This window comes from Homo sapiens, chromosome 22, assembly GCF_000001405.40.
Source record: "Homo sapiens chromosome 22, GRCh38.p14 Primary Assembly".
NCBI classification, from domain to species: Eukaryota; Metazoa; Chordata; class Mammalia; order Primates; family Hominidae; genus Homo; species Homo sapiens.
Genome location: NC_000022.11, coordinates 23,755,023 through 23,772,680, shown reverse-complemented (window position 1 = coordinate 23,772,680; position 17,658 = coordinate 23,755,023). Strand labels below are relative to the sequence as shown.

General features: G+C 54.4%; 2 protein-coding genes and 1 long non-coding RNA gene across 19 annotated transcripts, besides 2 other annotated features; 1 reads left to right on the top strand and 2 right to left on the bottom strand.

Moving 5' to 3' along the window:
* LOC107985577 (uncharacterized) lies at window positions 304–4,455 on the bottom strand. Of its 3 annotated transcripts, none has more exons than XR_001755453.2 (3): window positions 3,888–4,455; window positions 1,374–1,563; window positions 304–812 (listed from the first exon to the last, which is right to left on the bottom strand). It is a non-coding gene; the product is annotated as an uncharacterized LOC107985577 (long non-coding RNA). The 3 variants fall into 3 exon arrangements; XR_001755454.2 differs by having other exon boundaries at window positions 1,382–1,563; XR_007068022.1 differs by having other exon boundaries at window positions 1,374–1,494.
* Window positions 4,709–6,847, top strand: CHCHD10 (coiled-coil-helix-coiled-coil-helix domain containing 10). Of its 4 annotated transcripts, none has more exons than NR_125755.2 (4): window positions 4,709–4,847; window positions 5,141–5,307; window positions 6,406–6,553; window positions 6,655–6,847. NR_125755.2 is itself a non-coding variant. In NM_213720.3 (4 exons), the coding sequence occupies exons 1-4, from the start codon at window positions 4,807–4,809 to the stop codon at window positions 6,672–6,674; spliced, it is 429 nt and encodes a 142-aa protein (NP_998885.1). In that variant the 5' UTR covers window positions 4,709–4,806; the 3' UTR covers window positions 6,675–6,847. The 4 variants fall into 4 exon arrangements, 2 of the variants coding, with proteins under 2 accessions (NP_998885.1, NP_001288268.1); NM_213720.3 differs by having other exon boundaries at window positions 5,088–5,307; NM_001301339.2 differs by having other exon boundaries at window positions 5,088–5,307; window positions 6,385–6,553.
* Window positions 5,572–6,371: an enhancer, noted in NCBI's record as "H3K27ac-H3K4me1 hESC enhancer chr22:24108497-24109296 (GRCh37/hg19 assembly coordinates)". NCBI's record gives its function as "activates a minimal SCP1, AML or CMV promoter by ChIP-STARR-seq in naive H9 embryonic stem cells {active_cell/tissue: H9 hESC(naive)}" and the evidence as "EXISTENCE:reporter gene assay evidence [ECO:0000049][PMID:30033119]".
* Window positions 6,372–7,171: an enhancer, noted in NCBI's record as "H3K4me1 hESC enhancer chr22:24107697-24108496 (GRCh37/hg19 assembly coordinates)". NCBI's record gives its function as "activates a minimal SCP1, AML or CMV promoter by ChIP-STARR-seq in naive H9 embryonic stem cells {active_cell/tissue: H9 hESC(naive)}" and the evidence as "EXISTENCE:reporter gene assay evidence [ECO:0000049][PMID:30033119]".
* C22orf15 (chromosome 22 open reading frame 15) lies at window positions 6,818–9,691 on the bottom strand. Of its 12 annotated transcripts, none has more exons than XM_024452160.2 (6): window positions 9,350–9,691; window positions 8,508–8,594; window positions 8,279–8,442; window positions 7,968–8,042; window positions 7,779–7,888; window positions 6,818–7,392 (listed from the first exon to the last, which is right to left on the bottom strand). In XM_024452160.2, the coding sequence occupies exons 1-6, from the start codon at window positions 9,372–9,374 to the stop codon at window positions 7,122–7,124; spliced, it is 732 nt and encodes a 243-aa protein (XP_024307928.1). In that variant the 5' UTR covers window positions 9,375–9,691; the 3' UTR covers window positions 6,818–7,121. The 12 variants fall into 12 exon arrangements, with proteins under 12 accessions (XP_024307928.1, XP_011528210.2, NP_001363832.1 ...); XM_011529908.3 differs by having other exon boundaries at window positions 6,818–7,304; window positions 8,269–8,421; NM_001376903.1 differs by lacking the exon at window positions 7,779–7,888 and having other exon boundaries at window positions 6,818–6,960; window positions 7,224–7,304; window positions 8,269–8,421.
* Between the last annotated feature and the right edge of the window lie 7,967 nt (window positions 9,692–17,658).

The following is a 17,658-nucleotide window of genomic DNA, read 5'->3' as shown; positions in this document are numbered from 1 at the left end:
GTCCTGCCCCGGGGCTGGCAAAGTCCCTATCTGGTGCTGGGTGACCCTGGCCAACCCGTGCCGCTCTGGGTCTCAGTTTCTCCTCTGGGTGGTGGCCGTCCAAAGTCTTAGACTTGGCTAGAGTCTGAGAGGAGTCAGGTTTCATGGGTCCCATCCGTACCCCCACCTTTGGAAGGCGCATCCCACTGGGTCTCCTTGGTGGCCTGACCTCTGACCTCTGACAGGTGGTCCTACCCACAAGCAAGTTCCCCCACCCCTCAGAGCCTCAACGGATCCTTCTAGAAGATGACACAATAGCCCCTGTGAGGAAAGGGATATTATTTTATTTTTTATTATTATTATTTTTTGAGACACAGTCTCACTCTGTCTCCCAGGCAGGAGTGCAGTGGTGTGATCTCCACTCACTGCAACCTCCGCCTCCCAGGTTCAAACGATTCTGCTACCTCAGCCTCCCAAGTAGCTGGGACCACAGACGTGCGCCACCATGCCTGGCTAATTTTTGTATTTTTAGTAGAGATGGGGTTTCACCATGTTGGCCAGGCTGGTCTCGAACTCCTGACCTCAAGTGATCTGCCCACCTTGGCCTCCCAAAGTGCTGGGATTACATGGGGAAGCCATTGCACCTGGCCAGGAAAGGGATATTAAAATGTGTCCCAGGGGAAAGTGAGGCATATGGCAGGGACTGGCCAGTTCTTCAGCTTGGGATAGACCGAAGTTTACAGATAGGGAAACTGAGGCTCCAAGAGGGAGGGTCCAGGCTTTTCCACACCAGCAGACAAGTGGAGGGGTCAGGAGGTCCTCTAGCTGGTCAGCTGTGGGAAGGATGCTGTCAGAAGGCTGTGGGAGGTGTCTGAGTGGAGTACTGGGCCCCCAGGGTGTCCCCTCGTCAGTGCCCAACAAGCCCCTGGGGACCCCTCCAGGCTAGCCACCTCAGACTTGAAAGAAAGGAGGCGAGAGGCCGGGCGCAGTGGCTCATGCCTGTAATCCCAGCACTTTGGGAGGCCGAGGCAGGTGGATCACGAGGTCAGGAGTTGGAGAGCAGCCTGACCAACATGGTGAAACCCTGTCTCTACTAAAAATACAAAAATTAGCCAGGTGTGGTGGCACACACCTGTAAGCCCAGCTACTCAGGAGGCTGAAGCAGGAGAATCACTTGAACCCGGGAGGCGGAGGTTGCAGTGAGCCGAGATTGTTCCATTGCACTCCAGCCTGGGTGACAGAGCGAGACTCCATCTCAAAAAAAAGAAGGAAAGGAGGTGAGACTCAAAGGAGGGGTTGTGTCCACATTCTGGAAGGGATCCTTCAGTCTCATCCCTGATTTTCGGGGTTACCCAGTACTGCTGTACACCCCCTGAAATGATGAAGGGCCTCACCACCTCACCAGGCGACCTGTTCCATCATGGGTGGCCCTGCAGAGCCACGATCCAGGCAGTGGCTCGCATCCTGGCAGGCAGGGCTCTGAGCTGCTCAAAGGTGAGGCTGTGGTCAGGAAGCCTGGGCCAAGAAAGGGAAGCGGGTGGGGAAATGTTTCACAGCTTATTCAAGAAGACTCCACAGAGACTCCTAGAGGGCGAGGAGAAGTAAGACAGCAGTAATTTTTACAACCTACACTGTTCGTAATCTTTTCTTTTTTTTTTTTTTTTTTTTGAGACGGAGTCTCTCTCTGTCGCCCAGGCTGGAGTGCAGTGACGCGATCTCGGCTCACTGCAAGCTCCGCCTCCCAGGTTCATGCCATTCTCCTGCCTCAGTCTCCCGAGTAGCTGGGACTACAGGCGCCCGCCACCATGCCCAGCTAATTTTTTATATTTTTAGTAGAGATGGGGTTTCACCGTGTTGGCCAGGCTGGTCTTGAACTCCTGACCTCAGGTGATCCACCCGCCTCGGCCTCCCAAAGTGCTGGGATTACAGGCGTGAGCCACCGCGCCTGAAAGGCAATCTTTTCTTTAAAGTCACTCACTTTTATTTACTTTTATTATTTTGAGACAGGGTCTTGCTCAATGGTGTGATCTTGGCTCACTGCAACCTCCGCCTTCCAGGCTCAAACGATCCTCCTGCCTCAGCCTCCCAAGTAGCTGGGACTACCGGTGTGCATCACTATGCCCTGCTAATTTTTGTATTTTTTGTAGAGACAGGGTTTCACCATGTTGGCCAGGCTGGTCTCGAACTCCTGGACTCAAGCAATCTGCCTGCCTGGGACTCACAAAGTTCTGGGATATAGACATGAGCCACTATTCCCCGCTAAAGTGACTCATTTTTAAAAAGTAGGCATTTCAGGCCAGGCGTGGTGGCTCATGCCTGTAATCCCAGCACTTTGGGAGGCTGAGGCAGGCGGATCACAAGAGACCATCCTGGCCAACATGGTGAAACCCTGTCTCTACTAAAAATACAAAAAAAAATTAGCTGGGCATGGTGGCACGTGCCTGTAGTCCCAGCTACTTGGGAAGCTGAAGCAGGAGAATCACTTGAACCCGGGAGGTGGAGGTTGCAGTAAGCTGAGATCACACCACCGCACTCCAGCCTGGCAACAGAGTGAGACTCTGTTTAAAAAAACAAAAACAAAAACAAAAAAACAACAAAAAACAAACAATTAGCGGGGCATGGTGGCATGTGCCTGTGGTCCCAGATACTCGGGAGGCTGAGGCAAGAGAATCGCTTGAACCCAGGAGGCAGAAGTTGCAGTGAGTGGAGATCATACCACTGCACTCCAGCCTGAGCGACAGAGCAAGACTCCGTTTCAAAAAAAAAAAAAAAAAAAAGTTGGCATTTCAATGCCTGCTTCAGTGTCATCCTTTCAGCCTCATTTTCATTTGTGTAACCCACTTAAGTGGTCTTGGGTGCCTCCGAGGTGCAAGGCCATGCTTTGTGGAACCTGCAGTCCATCAGCCATGGGAGCTGAAGTAACAACTCTCTGCAGTTTAGGCCCGGGGACCACCATGAGAAGTGTTCAGTTTGTTTGGTGTGGCAAACAGGAACCAGGTGGCATGGACTGCATGAACAAGGGAGTAGCGGCTGGACCAGGCCTGGTGAGTCTGCCAGGAAAGAATGGCCCACCCTTGGTGTGCTCACCTCACTGGGAGGCCACCCTCAAGGTGGGTGGTCACCCCCCTTCAGAGAGGAGAAACTGAAGACAGGGCGGGGAAGGGCCCTGTTCACAGGCTGGCTGAAAGGACTGCAGTGTGAGAGAACACAGGGCTGCACCTGACTTCCATGGAGAGCATGCATGGCTGGGGACAGCTGTGCACACACAGAATTGAGCATGCCAGGCAGGGCCAAACGCCCCAGCCACCACTCCCCTTGCCCCTTGACCTGCTCCTTCCTTATGGAGGGGCCTCCTCTCTTACTTGGTGACCCACACCCCCACTTCTGGGTGCTTTTGCTCTTGGTTGCACCCTGCCGACAATCCCGGTGTCAGGAGTCCTCTGCAGGCACAGCAGTGATGAGGGACAGTCCCTACCTTCCCCCACCTAGGAGTAATAATATGACCACTGCAAAGTCACCCAGAAAAGACCATAAAAACCTCAAGCTCAGCCGGGCGCGATGGCTCATGCTTGTAATCCCAGCACTTTGGGAGGCTGAGGTAGGAGGATCATGAGCTCAGGAGTTGGAGACCAGTTTGGCCAACATGGTGAAACCCCGTCTCTACTAAAAATACAAAAATTAGCCAGGTGTGGTGGCACGAGCCTGTAGTCCCAGCTACTCAGGAGGCTGAGGCAGGAGAATTGCTTGAATCCGGGAGGTGGAGGTTGCAGTGAGCCGAGATCGCCACTGCACTCCAACCTGGGCGACAGAGCAAGGCTCCGTGTCAAAAAAAAAAAAGTAAAAAGTAAAATTAAAACCTCAAGTTCTCGAAGAGCAGGAAAGCATTCTAAATCCGCGCTCCAGCTCACCTGGCCTGGAACGAAGCTGCTAAAATTGCGAGGCCGCAGGCTTCAAACTTGCGCTAGATTTGACCGAGCCGGGCAAATGCTCCTAGGCCTTTGGGATAGACACGCTGCTCGGATGTCGCGTAAAGGCCGTTAGTGTCGGGGGTTGCACTCGCGGGGCCAGGGACTAGGTGGGGGCGGTCGGGCCGGCCCGGGGAATCCGGTGGGGTTCAGGGCCGCGCGGGGGGCCTCATATCCCCCGCGGGCACTGCGTAAGGCTGCCAGCATTGGCAGCGCATTTTGGCCAACAGTCGAAGACGGGTTGGGACGCCCCCTCGTGGGAGTTCTGGGGATGGGTTGCTCCAGGCCTTCCCCAGGGCCGCGCTTCACTTCCCTAGGCCACCGGAGACTCCCAGGCCACGCGGTGGTCAGCAGACCCTGTCTGGAGGGAGGGGACAGACAGCCGAGTCCGGGAGGGGGCAGAGAGCGGAGTCCAGCCTGGAGCCTCGCGTCCCCTTCCCAGCTGGCCCCATCCCGTCGCCTCCCCGTCTCCTCTCCCCTCCAGGGCTCGCAACAACCCCCAACTCCGCTCCCTGCCCTCTGCGGTGGTCCTAACAGAAGGCACTGTCGCCCTCCTTAAGCCCTCGGCGCTTTGCGACACTGGCCCCTGTCCCCAGAACCCGCACAGCCTGCCAGGCGCAGGGAGGGAGCAGGGTCCCATTTCCAGCCGAGACCCGGAGCTGCTGGAAGGGAGATGTCCGGAGGACGGGAGAAGGGGGATAGGGTTGGGGGCAGTGCCGCCTCCCGCTGGGGGCGTGTTCCTGAGGCCCCGCCCGGGGCCCCGCCTTTTTTGCGCCGGCTGTGACAAGCGCTGCGGCATTTGTCCCCGCGACAGCACCGCTGCCGCCGTCTCTAAGGTCGCCCGGGTCCCACCGCCGCCACCATGCCTCGGGGAAGCCGCAGCGCGGCCTCCCGGCCAGCCAGGTGTGAGGGGGACAAGGGCCCTGTGGGGAGGGGGTTAGGGAAGTGTGGGCACTCCCCTAAGGGCGTCCGCAGAGTGACCTTGGCTGCTGCTGCGCCATCTTGGCGGGGGGAGGGGTGGGGGTGCAGCACCCACGTGTGGAGACGTGGGTCGTCCATCTCTCCGGGGGTCGTTTCCAGGAGCTGCAGCCCTCCAGCCTGGGGTCTGGCCAGGATTAACCCTGCTTCCTCCCACCCCCGCAGCCGCCCAGCCGCGCCCTCTGCCCACCCGCCCGCGCACCCACCGCCCTCGGCAGCCGCCCCAGCCCCCGCCCCTTCGGGCCAGCCGGGGCTCATGGCTCAGATGGCGACCACGGCCGCAGGGGTAGCCGTGGGCTCGGCTGTGGGACACGTCATGGGCAGCGCCCTGACCGGAGCCTTCAGCGGGGGGAGCTCGGAGCCCTCCCAGCCTGCTGTCCAGCAGGTGAGCAGCGAGTCCAAGAGAAACTGAGGCAGGATTATCTCGAGGCCACACAGGGAGCTGCCCAAGTGTCCAGTGAGGAGTGTCCGCGTGTATTCACCATTGCTTCAGCCCAGGACTCTGCCCGGGAAGGGTCCTAGTCCACTGGTCTTGAGTTCACTGTCACTTAGAGGCAGGCTTCCCGGCCTCTCCCTTGAGGCCAGGGTCCCTAAGCTCCCAGGGAGAGACACCAACCAGCCCTTTAAAGATGGGAAACCCAGGCCCTGAGGGCTCAGAGACTCGCCCAAGGTCACCTCACCCTAGCAGAGGGGAGGGATGTTGGATTTCCTGAGCCCCTGTTCTCCCCACACCCAGGTCTGGGCACTGTGGCCGCTGGGCGCAAGGGCGAAGGGGAGCCACTTCCCTGATGACCTTTCCCCTGCTAGGAACCCCACCGCCGTAAGCCAAATGTGGCTTTGTGGCTAGGTCAGGGGTCATGAGGATTAGTGTAGCTGAGCCAGGAAGGTGCTAGAACTTGTGGGGGTGGGGCTCATACTCTGAGAGTACAGGCAGAGTACTGGGCTTTCCTAGAGCCTTCTCCTCCCTCTCCTGCACCCGCCCAAAGTGCCCATTAGAAGGCAGCAGAGGCCAGGCGCAGTGGCTCATGCCTGTAATCCCAGCACTTTGGGAGGCCAAGGCGGGTGGATCATGAGTTCAGGAGTTCGATACCAGCCTGGCCAACATAGTGAAACCCCCTCTCTACTAAAAATACAAAAAATTTGTTGGGCATGGTGGCGGGCGCCTGTAGCCCCAGCTACTTGGGAGGCCAAGGCAGGACAACCACTTGAACCCGGGAGGCGGAGGTTGCAGTGAGCCGAGACTGCGCCGCTGCACTCCACTCTAGGTGACAGAGTGAGACTCTGTCTCAAAAAAAAAAAAAAAAAAAGGCAGCAGAAACATGCTGTCTGTAGCCGCCTCTGCTGCTGGATCACTCAGCCTGCCTAGGACCCTTGGGACACCCAGGCTGGGGATGTGGGGAGGGGCAGGTGGCCCCAGGTTTGAAACGCACCTCCAGGTGCCAACTCCAAGCTGATCCTGCAGCCTCTTGCACTGTACCCCCAGGCCCCCACCCCCGCTGCCCCCCAGCCCCTGCAGATGGGGCCCTGCGCCTACGAGATCAGGCAGTTCCTGGACTGTTCCACCACTCAGAGTGACCTGTCCCTGTGTGAGGGCTTCAGCGAGGCCCTGAAGCAGTGCAAGTACTACCATGGTGAGTGAGTGGACCCCGACTCAGGCGGGGAGGGGGAGAGGCCAACCCTCCTCTTGCACCTGCAGGCTGACCACCAGCCTGTGCTGCCCCTCCCTTCCCAGGTCTGAGCTCCCTGCCCTGAAGAGGTCGGTGCAGACTCGGGGGCCAGTCCTGCACCCACCTCTACCCCTCGCCGACAGCCAGACCACAACACCAGATTGTACCCAGATAGCTGGGATTGGAAGTGAGGAGGTTTCTCACCCCACAGATAACCCAAGACACAAATGTGCAATTAAAAGTTTATTTTAGACCACAGCCTGTTGTGTGCCTCTCTCGATGGCCTGTCTTCAGGGAGCTCCCTGGCTGATGAGGTGGGGTCAGGATGGATGTCTCACTACAGTGTGCAATCCATCCCCTTAATCAGGGCCCTGGGTGGGGAGGAGGAGCCCTGTTGCAATCTGCACTGTGGGTAGCACAGGACAGATTCCTTGGGCAGTCCAGAGTGAGGTGGAGAGGCATTAGTCGGTGATCCCAAGGGCATCTGACTCTGAGGGTGGAATCCCAGGATGAACCCATGGTCTCCCCCTTATCAGGGATACCTGCCACCTCTACCCTTCTTGTCTCTACCTCTGCATCCCATTCTCTGCACCCACAGCTTAGGTGCCCCTGGCGGCCTCAAATCCTGTCTGACCTTGCCCCTCTTGCTGATGCAACTTCTCAGCAATTCCAGATTCTGCAAGAGGAGTCCTGCTGGGTTGTTGTCTGTTTGCACCTGATCACACAAGGCAGAGGTCATGGCTAACCCCCTTGGGTCTGAGTCCAACTTGGCTAGTTGGCAGTAGTGTGCCAGGTCCCCAAGCCTGCCAGAATGGAAGAACAAGCCCTTCAAACCCAGTGTGGGCCGTGCCATCACACACCATGCTGCCGCCTTCATTGAGTTCATCCAGCAGTTGTGCACTGAGCTCCTACTGTGTGCCAGCCCCTATGCCACATCTGTGAAGCCTGAGGACATTCCGGCCCTTAGTGCGCTGGCACTCCCGTGGGGTGGTGGGGACCTGTCTCAGGGTACAGTGTGTTCCATCTGGGGGTATATGTGCGTGGAGTTGGTGTTGAGGGTCTGCCCCTCATCATATGTGTCTGTCCTGCAGGAAGGGATCCCACTCTGGGTGTCTCTGTGGATGTCCAAATCTGCTCTGTACCTGGCTCCCTGCCCCAGCTAGCAACTCCTGGGTGGCAGGGAGCTCACCTTTCTGGGCCTTGAAGTGGGGCTTTGCTCATGGCGGCCTCGCCGAGTGCCCATACGCTTCCTCCAGTTGTGGCCCACAGAGGAGAGGCCTGACAGCCTGCGCAGTTCCTCTGGAAGGCCCAGGAAGTCCTGTTGGTAGGGGTTAGGGAGAAGGTGTGCCCTCCCCCTGGGCTGTACCCTGACACTCACCTGCCAGCTCTGGGTAATGGTCATCCAGGTTCTCCAATAGGGACTCATAGCGGGTGGAGGCCATGTCCTCTCCCTCTGTGACATGTGGAGAGACGATGAAGGACACCTGACTGGCCTAATGGTCCCTACTCTGCCTCTCACTCTGGAACTGTTTGCTAGTCCAGGCTGGGAGCAGAGCATTGGGTAGGGATGGATTGGGGCTAGGTCCCCAGCCGAGGTGGGAGGCCGGACAGGGCCTTGGGTGGTCTATGGTCTGCTATGCCCCCCTCTTACATTCTACCATAGCTGCAGGGGAGAGAACCTTGGGCCACCTTACTGATGATCCGAACGAGGACATATATGGCTCGCTCCTTCAGTAGGGAGTTGCCCATGGTCTGGGCCCGGGAAGCCCCTTCCTTCAGGTCCTCCTCCAGGCTCACTAGGTTGCCATCCTCAGCCAGGAGAGCAATGGTCGCTGGGAGGACATGGAGAGAGACTGGGCAGGGCTGGCACCCCTGCCTGGGACCCCTCAGCCCCTCCTTCTCCTCCCTGTCTCCTCACCATCTGGGGGCAACCCTGCTTTCTGCCTCAGGTGGGCGGTGAGGTTCACCAGCCTGCAAGAGGTGTTCACCAGCACCGAGCAGCCAGCTGTGGAGAGGGGCAAAGGTGAGCCTGTGAGATCTCTTACCTTCCTCCAAATCGGGGTCCTCTGTCTCTCCCTCCCATCTCTCCCTTTCCCAGAGCTGCGACTGGGCCTATGGGCTAAGACTGTGCCCCGGGCATAACAGCTCCAACATCTGTTGCTTAAACTGCCTTGGAGAACCCTCCATCCATCTCCCATGTGTGGTGACTTTTCTCCCATGTGTGGTGACTCCCAAGTGTTGGTCTCTTGAGTCCTGCAAAGCACGAAGTGGGCGCCAGCCCAGCCTCCTCCCGGGACCCGCCCCCACGGGACCCAGCCAGTCCCCGCCCTCCGCACCCACCGGCTCCTCTCTTCCCTTCCGCTACCGCACAGGGCCGACCCGCCTCCAGCCAGAGGCACGGGGACCCTGCAACTGTGGCTAGAGTTTCAGGTGTCTGATGCACGCTGAAGCTTGAGGATCACGGATTGAATGGCGAAGAGATTGTGCGGCTTAAAAACCTGCTCCAGGGTAATGCGGCGGTCTCTGGCCGAGAGGAACCCTTGTGAATGAGCAGGACTCAGCTCGGGTTTTCCCTTTAAGGGACTCGCTCCAGGTGCTGGCTTCGCCTCCTCACAGAGCCGCTTCCCCGACGACCCCCGCCATGTGCACCACCCCCCTTTCCCGCCATTGCCTCCCCACCCACCGCAAGGGCGGAAGGAAGCACGCCTCTGAGTGTGCTCATCCCCCTATCCGCCTACCAAGACAGGGGACCCCACTTACCCCCAAACATCACCTTGATAAACATAGCTGCAGCGGGTGAGGGAGATGTGGGGGGCTTTGATCCCCCAACTCTCGATTCCCCAACTAAGGAAAAGCGTGGAGCAGAGACCTGCTTCAGGGCCGGGCTCTGGAGGGAGAAGTGGATGTGTGAGTGTGGATGGCTGGGTCCCAGGGCCAGGCCCCTGCTCAGCCACCTCTGTGGTTCTGCTGCTTCAGCCTAGCTCAAACCCTGCAGCTAGTCCAAGACTCCTGGCCTCCTCTTCCTCCCCACTGAGCCCTGGGCCACAGCAGCTCCCCTAAGCTTCCAAGCTGGTCTCCATGGCAGTGGGGGCGGAGACATCTAGGCAGGAAATGCCTTCCTCCCTGTATCCGTTAACGGGGCCCATGGGGGAGAGGTGACAGAAGAAGTGGGGGCTGGCATTCCCTGAGGCGGGGAATGCCATCATTGGGATTGATTTTTTTTAGAGACAGTCTCCCTATGTTGCCCAGGCTGGTCTCGAACTTGGCTCAAGCAATTCTCCAGCCCCAGCCTCCCACAAGTGCTGGGATTGCAGTTGTGAACCACTTGTACAGTAAAGTTCACCCTTTCTGGTGTTTTAAAGTTATGCCAACTCTCATATAACCACCACCACAGTCAAGATACAGAACATTTCCATCACCCCCAAATTCCTTTGCCCCCTTTGTACTCAGCCCTAGTCGCTTCCAGGTCCATAGCAGGTCACAAGCACCTCCTTGTTAGCACTGGCCACTAGCTAGTCCCTCACACCGGTTCTCACCGTCATTTCCTGTCTTTTATTTATTTATTTATTAAGTTTATTAATTATTATTATTATTGGTGTTTTTTAAATTTTTATTTTTTGAGATGGAGTCTCCCTGTCACCCAGGCTAGAATGCAGTGGTACGATCTCGGCTCACTGCAACCTCCGCCTCCCGAGTTCAAGCGATTCTCCTGCCTCAGCCTCCCAAGTAACTGGGACTACAGGTGTGCACCACTACACCTGGCTAGTTTTTTTTTTTTTTTTTTTTTTTTTTGAGACGGAGTCTCGCTCCCTCGCCCAGGCTGGAGTGCAGTGGTGTGACCTCGGCTCACTGCAAGCTCCGCCTCCCGGGTTCACGCCTTTCTCCTGCCTCAGCCTCCTGAGTAGCTGGGACTACAGTCGCTCGCCACCACGCCCAGCTAATTTTTTTTGTATTTTTAGTACAGACGGGGTTTCACCATGTTAGCCAGGACGGTCTCAATCTCCTGACCTCGTGATCTGCCCGCCTCGGCCTCCCAAAGTGCTGGGATTACAGGATTACAGGCGTGAGCCACTGCGCCCGGCCTTTTTTTGTATTTTTAATAGAGATGGAGTTTCACCATATTGGTCAGATTGGTCTCGAACTCCTGACCTCAAATGATCCGCCCATCTTGGCCTCCCAAAGTGCTGAGCCACCAAGCCTGACCTATTTATTTTTTTTTGAGAATGAGTCTCGCTCTGTCAGCCATGCTGCAGTGCAGTGGCGCAATCTCGGCTCACTGCAACCTCCGCCTCTCGGGTTCAAGCGATTCTCCTGCCTCAGCCTCCGGAGTAGCTGGTATTACAGGCGCCAGCCACCACCCCTGGCTAATTTTTTGTATTTTTAGTAGACATAAGGAAGGCCAGGCTGGTCTCGAACTCCTGACCTCAGGTGATCCACCTGCCTGAGCTTCTCAAAGTGCTGTGATTATAGGAATGAGCCACTGTGCCCGGCCATTTCGGCCATTTCGTGTCTTTTGTATTTGTCTGCTTCTCCCAGTCTCTCCCCTTCTTGTTCCCCTCCTCTCCGTCTTCCTTTTCTGTCTAGGCTTCACATTCTCTCTCCCCTCCCCTCCTCTCCCCTCCCCTCCCCTCCCTCCTTTCCCTTTTTTCCTTTCTCTTCCTCCCTCCCTCTCTCCCTCCCTCCCTTCCTTCCTTCCTTTCTTTTTTTGACAGAGTTTTGCTCTTGTTGCCCAGGCTGGAGTACAATGGTGCAATCTCAGCTCACCGCAACCTCCGCCTCCTGGGTTCAAGCGATTCTCCTGCCCCAGCGTCCCAAGTAGCTGGGATTACAGGCATGTGCCACCACACCTGGCTAATTTTGTATTTTTAGTAGAGACAGGGTTTCTCCATGTTGGCCAGGCTGGTCTCGAACTCCTGACCTCAGGTGATCTGCCCCCCCTCGGCCTCCCAAAGTGCTGGGATTACAGGCGTGAGCCACTGCGCCCGGCTGGCTGGCTTGCTTTCTCGCTCTTTTGCTCTTTCGCTCTTTTGCCCTTCCTTCCTTCCTTCCCTCCTTCCTTCCTTCCTTCCTTTTCTCTCTTTCTTTTTCTTTTCCTTCCTTCCTTTCTTCTTTTCTTTCTTTTCTGTTCTCTTTTTTTTTGAAACAGGGTCTTACTCTGCTGCCCAGGCTGCAGTGCAGTGGCACAATCACAGCTCACTGCAGCTTTGGCCTGCCGGGCTCAAGCAATCCTCCCACTTCAGCCTCCTGAGTAGCTGGGTCTACAGGTGCATGCCACCATGCCTGTTGAAATTTTTTTCTTTTTAATTTTGTAGAGATGGAGTCTCACTATGTTGCCTAGACTGGTCTTGAACTCTTGGGGTCAAGCAATCCTCTTACCTTGGCCTCCCAAAGTGCTGGGATTACAGGTGCAAGCCACTGGTCCCAGCCTCACATTGGTTTTTTTGCCTCTCCGTGTTCATCCTTCCTTTGACTTTTGTTCTCATGTCTCTTTTCATTATCCTTTCCCTTTCCTTCCTGCTTACTGCCTCCCCTCTGTCTCTGTCTCTCCACTTCTGTCTCCTGCCCTCACCCCATGACCCCCACCAGACCTTTCCAGCCAGGGCACCAGGTGGATGCCTGGAGCAACACCTCCCTTTCCCCAGCTCCCTTACCCCCAAGGTTTTAGAAGTGCTTCCAGCCCCCATGATTCGGCTGTGTCCTGCCTTTTACAGGCAGAGTTCTGGACAGTGAGGGTGGAGGAAATCTGAGTCTTCCATGAAGCCTGCCATTGTCAGACTCCGGCTCTGGATAAGCACTTTCCTTTGGACTGCCTTGGTGTTTCCATCTGTAAAAGGGGGGTATGACCCGTGACTTAGCAGGGCTGTGGTGACGATTAAGTGTGATAAATTTTAAAGAGCTGTCTCTGTGCTCAGCACCGTGATGGAGCAAGCACTCCAATCAGTATTGCAGAAACAGGTAGCACTTCCCAAGCTTACTTAAACATGAGATGGCCAGGCGCAGTGGCTCATGCCTGTAATCCCAACACTTTGGGAGGCTGAGGATCTGCCCAGCCTGGGCAACACAGCAAGGCCTCATCTCTGTAAAAATAAAAACATTAGCTGGGCGTGGTGGCTCACACCTGTAGTCCCAGCTCCTCGGGAGGCTGAGGCGGGAAGATCACTTGAGCCCAGTTCAAGGCAGAAATTAATTAAAATCACACCACTACGCTTCAGCCTGGGTGACACGGTGAGACCTTGACTAAAAAAAAAAGACAAAAAACAGTGCCCTTTTTTTAACTCACAGCCTCCAGAATTCCCTTGGGGAGGCTACATAGCCCCTTCCCAGGTACCACTCCATTCTTGACACCTCCTCAGGGTATCTCCATGACAGTCAAGATACAGTCTCTTGATTCCCTCCTTGGTGGCACTGAAGAGGAGATCCTTGGATGGCAGATGGTGACTACAAGAGCTGAGGCTCCAGGCCTGGAGTGGCCTTTCCTTCCAGATTCTGGCTTCAGGCACTGGAGGCTCCACACTTAACAGTCTCCTGAGCTGTGTTCTGTGGGACGTGGATTCCCAGATATGGTTCTGTCCCGGGAAAAAGTGCTCCATGTTTTTTTTTTTTTTTCTTTTTTGAGACAGAGTTTCATTCTTGTCGCCCAGGCTGGAGTGCAATGGCACGATCTTGGCTCACTGCAACCTCCACCTCCCAGGTTCAAGTGATTCTCCTGCCTCAGCCTCCTGAGTAGCTGGGATTACAGGCGCCCACTACCATGCCCAGCTAATTTTGTTTGTATTTTTAGTAGAGACAGGGTTTCACCACATTGGCCAGGGTGGTCTCGAACTCCTGACCTTGTGATCCGCCCACCTCAGCCTCCCAAAGTGCTGGGATCACAGGCATGGGCCACCTAGCCCCGCCCATGTTTTTTTTGTTTGTTTGTTTTTGTTTTGTTTTGTTTTGAGACAGAGTCTCACTCTGTCGCCCAGGTTGTAGTGCAGTGGCACGATCTCAGCTCACTGCAGCCTCCCAGGTTCAAGTGATTCTTCCGCTTCAGCCTCCCTAGTAGCTGTGATTAGAGGTGCACACCACCACGCCTGGCTAATTTTTTGTATTTTTCGTAGAGACAGGGTTTTACCCTGTTGACCAGGCTGGTCTCAAATTCCTGAGCTCAAGTGATCCCCCCGCCTCCGCCTCCCAAAGTGCTGAGATTATAGGCATGAGCCACTGCGTCCAGCCTTATTATTATTTTTTGAGACAGAGTCTCACTCTGTCATCCAGGCTGGAGTGCAGTGGCACAAACATGGCTCACTGCAGCCTCAAACTCCTGTGCTCAAGTGATCCTCCCACCTCAGGCTCCCAAGTAGCTAAAACTACAGATGTGAGCCACCACGCCTGGCCAATTAAAAAAATTTTTTTGTAGAGACAGGGTCTTGCTCCGTTGTTCAGGCTGGTCTCAAACTGCTGGCCTCAAACGATTTTCCTGCCTTGGCATCTCAAAGTGCTAGGATAACAGGCGTGAGACACCGTGCTCAGTGTCACAGTTATTTTCTGATGTTAGCCTTACCTTACTTGAATAATAATAAAACCGATTAAAATGGTGCACTCTTGTGAGGCACGGTGGCTTACACCTGTTATCCTAGCACTTTGGGAGGCTGAAGCAGGAGGATCGTTTGAGGCTGGGAATTCAAGACCAGCCTGGGCAACATAGTAAGACCCTGTCTCTACAAAAAAAAAAAAAAAAAAAAAAAAATTAAAGAATTAGCTGGGCATGGTGGCTCACACCTGTAGTCCTAGCTTCTCGAGAGCCTGAGGTGGGAGGATCACTTGAGCACAGAAGTTCGAGGCTGCAAATGAGCTATGATCACACCACTCTACTCCAGCCTGGATAACAGAGCAAGACTTTGTCTCAAAATAAGTACATCAATTAAACAAAAATAAAAGAATTAGCCAGGCATGGTGGCATGCACCTGTAATCCTAGCTATTCCGGAGGCTAAGGTAGGAGGACTGCTTGAGCCCAGGAGTTCACGGCTGCAGTGAACTATGATCAAGCCGCTGTACTTCAGCTTGGGTGACAGAATGAGACCTTGTCTCAAAGAAAAAAGAAAAAGCAACACTCCGTCTCAAAAAAAAAGAAAAAAGAAAAAGAAGGCTGGTCACGGTGGCTCACGCCTGTAATCCCAGCACTTTGGGAGACCGAGGCAGGCAGATCACGAGGTAAACAGTGAAACTCCGTCTCCTAAATATACAAAAATACAAAATATACTAAAAATACAAAAATTAGCTGGGCATGGTGATGCGCACCTGTAGTCCCAGGTACGCGGGAGGCTGAGGCAAGAGAATCGCTTGAACCCAGGAGGCAGAGGTTGTGAGCTGAGCATCGCGCCACTGCACTCCAGCCTGGGCAACAGAGCAAGACTCTGTCTCAAGAAAAACGAAAAGAAAAGAGAAAAGAAGAAAAGAAAAGAAAGGGAAGGGGAGGGGAGGGGAGGGGCAGGGGGGAAGTGCCATTGAAAACATAGTTTGTAGCCAGGCGCAGTGACTCACGCCTTTAATCCCAGCACTTTGTGAGGCAAAGGCGAACAGATCATGAGGTCAGGAGATCGAGACCAGCCTGACCAACATGGTGAAACCGACCAACATGGTGAACCCCGTCTCTACTAAAAAAAAAAACAAAAAAAATTAGCCGGGCGTGGCAGTTCATGCCTGTAATCCCAGCTACTTGGGAGGCTGAGGCAGGAGAATCACTTGAACCTGGGAGGCGGAGGTTGCAGTGAGCTGAGATTGCACCATTGCACTCCAGCCTGGGCAACAAACAGCGAAACTCCGTCTCAAAAAAAAAAAAAAAAAGAAAAAGAAAAGATAGCTTGTTACTCAAAGTTCCCCTAAAACAGGGAGTACACCAAGGTGGGCCACACAGGAAGCACCACAGTTGATGGGCAGGCAGAGGGAGAGGGAGGAACTGTGGGCAAGGGCCTCTATTGTGGTTTCCAACGCTGGGCAGGCTTAGGACTGAATAATTAAAGTGGATTCTGGGGCATGGGCTGTCCCTAGTTGTCTGGTGCGTGGCCCTGGAGAGATTAGGGCAGGTGGAGTATAAGAGCAGATTAAGGAGGGAGTTGAGGGGGTTGGGATTAGTTGACTTGCATTTGAAAAGCGTGCTTTCAGAAGAGTTATTTACTATCATGGCTGGGTGAGGTGGCTCAAGCTTGTAATCCCAGCACTTTGAGAGCCCGAAGTAGGTGGACCATTTGACGTCAGGAGACCGAAATTATCTTGGCCAACATGGTGAAATCCCATTTCTACTAAAAATACAAAAAGAATTAGCTGGGCCTGGTGGCGCATGCCTGTAATCCCAGGTACTTGGGAGGCTGAGGCAGGAAAATCGCTTGAACCCGGGAGGCGGAGGTTGCAGTGAGTGGAGATGGTGCTTTTGTACTCCAGCCTGGGGGACAGAACGAGACTCTGTCTGATAAAAAAGAAAAAGAGTTGGCCAGGTGCAGTGGCTCACACCTGTAATCCCAGCACTTTGGGAGGCCAAGGTGGGCAGATGACAAGGTCAGGAGATTGAGACCATCCTGGCTAACACGGTGAAATCCCGTCTCTACTAAAAAATACAAAAAATTAGCCGGGCATGGTGGTGGGCGCCTGTCGTCCCAGCTACTCGGGAGGCTAAGGCAGGAGAATGGCGTCAACCCGGAGGCAGAGCTTGCAGTGAGCCAAGATCGCACCACTGCACTCCAGCCTGGGTGACAGAGTGAGACTCTGTCTCAAAAAAAAAAAAAAGAAAAAGAGTTATTTACTATCGGCTGGGCGCGGTGGCTAACACCTGTAATCCCAGCACTTTGGGAGGCCAAGGCGGGCAGATCACAAGGTCAGGAGATCGAGACCATCTTGGCTAACATGGTGAAACCCCATCTCTACTAAAAATATAAAAAATTTGCCAGGCGCAGTGGCGGGCACCTGTAGTCCCAGCTACTCGGGAGGCTGAGGCAGGAGAATGGCGTGAACCCAGGAGGCGGAGCTTGCATCGAGCCAAGATCGCGCCACTGCACACCAGCCTGGGCGACAGAGTGAGACTCCGTCTCAGAAAAAAAAAAAAAAGTTATTTACTATCTATAGGGACTGGGTAACCCTGGGAGGGTTAGTCCCTCAATGGTCAGCAAGGGCCCAGATTACACAGCACTGGAATACAGAAAATAAATGACATGGTTAATCCACCCACTGTGGCCAGCCCTGAGCAAATAGGTCCCATCTTTGCATTTTCACAATCCTCAGGCTGGCATTATGCTTAACTTTATGTTCCAGATGAGAAAACCGAGGCACAGTGGGGGGAAGTAACTTGGCTGAAGTCATGCAGTTAAGAAAAGCAGGAGCTGGGATTCAAACCCAAGTTCAAAACCACCTCAGCTACTTGGAATCCTGGCAAATTAAAGGTTGTGATAATGTCAAGGGCTGGCGAGGATGCGAAGTCACAGTAAACTCTCTTACTCTGCTGGTGGAAGACCAGATTGTTACAAACACATCAGGAACCCTGGCAGACCTAGTAAAGCTAAATGTATTCTTTCCTTGCCGTCTGGCAGCTCCATTCCTGGGTGTCTCTCCAGCACAAATGAGTGCACCAGTACACCAAAAGACATCGACAGAGACATTCACAGAAGTTGTATTTGTAATGGCCAAAGACTGGAGAGCATCCAAATATCTAACAATAGGAGAATGGAAAACCTGATTACAGTGCATTCACACAATGGATTACACACAGCTATGGGCATGAATGAAATATTGCTGCACACACATGGATCACTCCCATCATGTTCAACAAAAGAAGCAGGCACAAAAGAGGGCACACTATCATTCCACTTATAGTTAAAGTTCTAGAGCAGGCACAAACTAATCTAAGGTGATAGAAGTCAGAATGATGATTCCCTTGAGGGTGCATGTCATTAACTGAGGGGCCTTCAGGGGAGATGGAGGTGTTCTTTTTTCTTTTCTTTTTTTTGAGACATAGTCTCGCTCTGTCGCCCAAGCTGAAGTGCAGTGAAGCAATCTTGGCTTACTGCAACCTCCACCTCCCGGGTTCAAGCGATTTTCC

Bases quoted from the DNA above. Each gene is read 5' to 3' on its own strand.
- CHCHD10 (NM_001301339.2), top strand. From the start codon at position 4,807: ATGCCTCGGGGAAGCCGCAGCGCGGCCTCCCGGCCAGCCAG. The intron at 5,308-6,384 runs GTGAGCAGCGAG...CTGATCCTGCAG, and splicing joins CCCAGCCTGCTGTCCAGCAG to CCTCTTGCACTGTACCCCCA. The intron at 6,554-6,654 runs GTGAGTGAGTGG...CTCCCTTCCCAG, and splicing joins GCAGTGCAAGTACTACCATG to GTCTGAGCTCCCTGCCCTGA.
- C22orf15 (XM_024452160.2), bottom strand. From the start codon at position 9,374: ATGTTTATCAAGGTGATGTTTGGGG. The intron at 8,595-9,349 runs GTAAGTGGGGTC...CCCTCTCCACAG, and splicing joins TATCAAGGTGATGTTTGGGG to CTGGCTGCTCGGTGCTGGTG. The intron at 8,443-8,507 runs GTGAGGAGACAG...AGCCCTGCCCAG, and splicing joins AGCAGGGTTGCCCCCAGATG to TCTCTCTCCATGTCCTCCCA.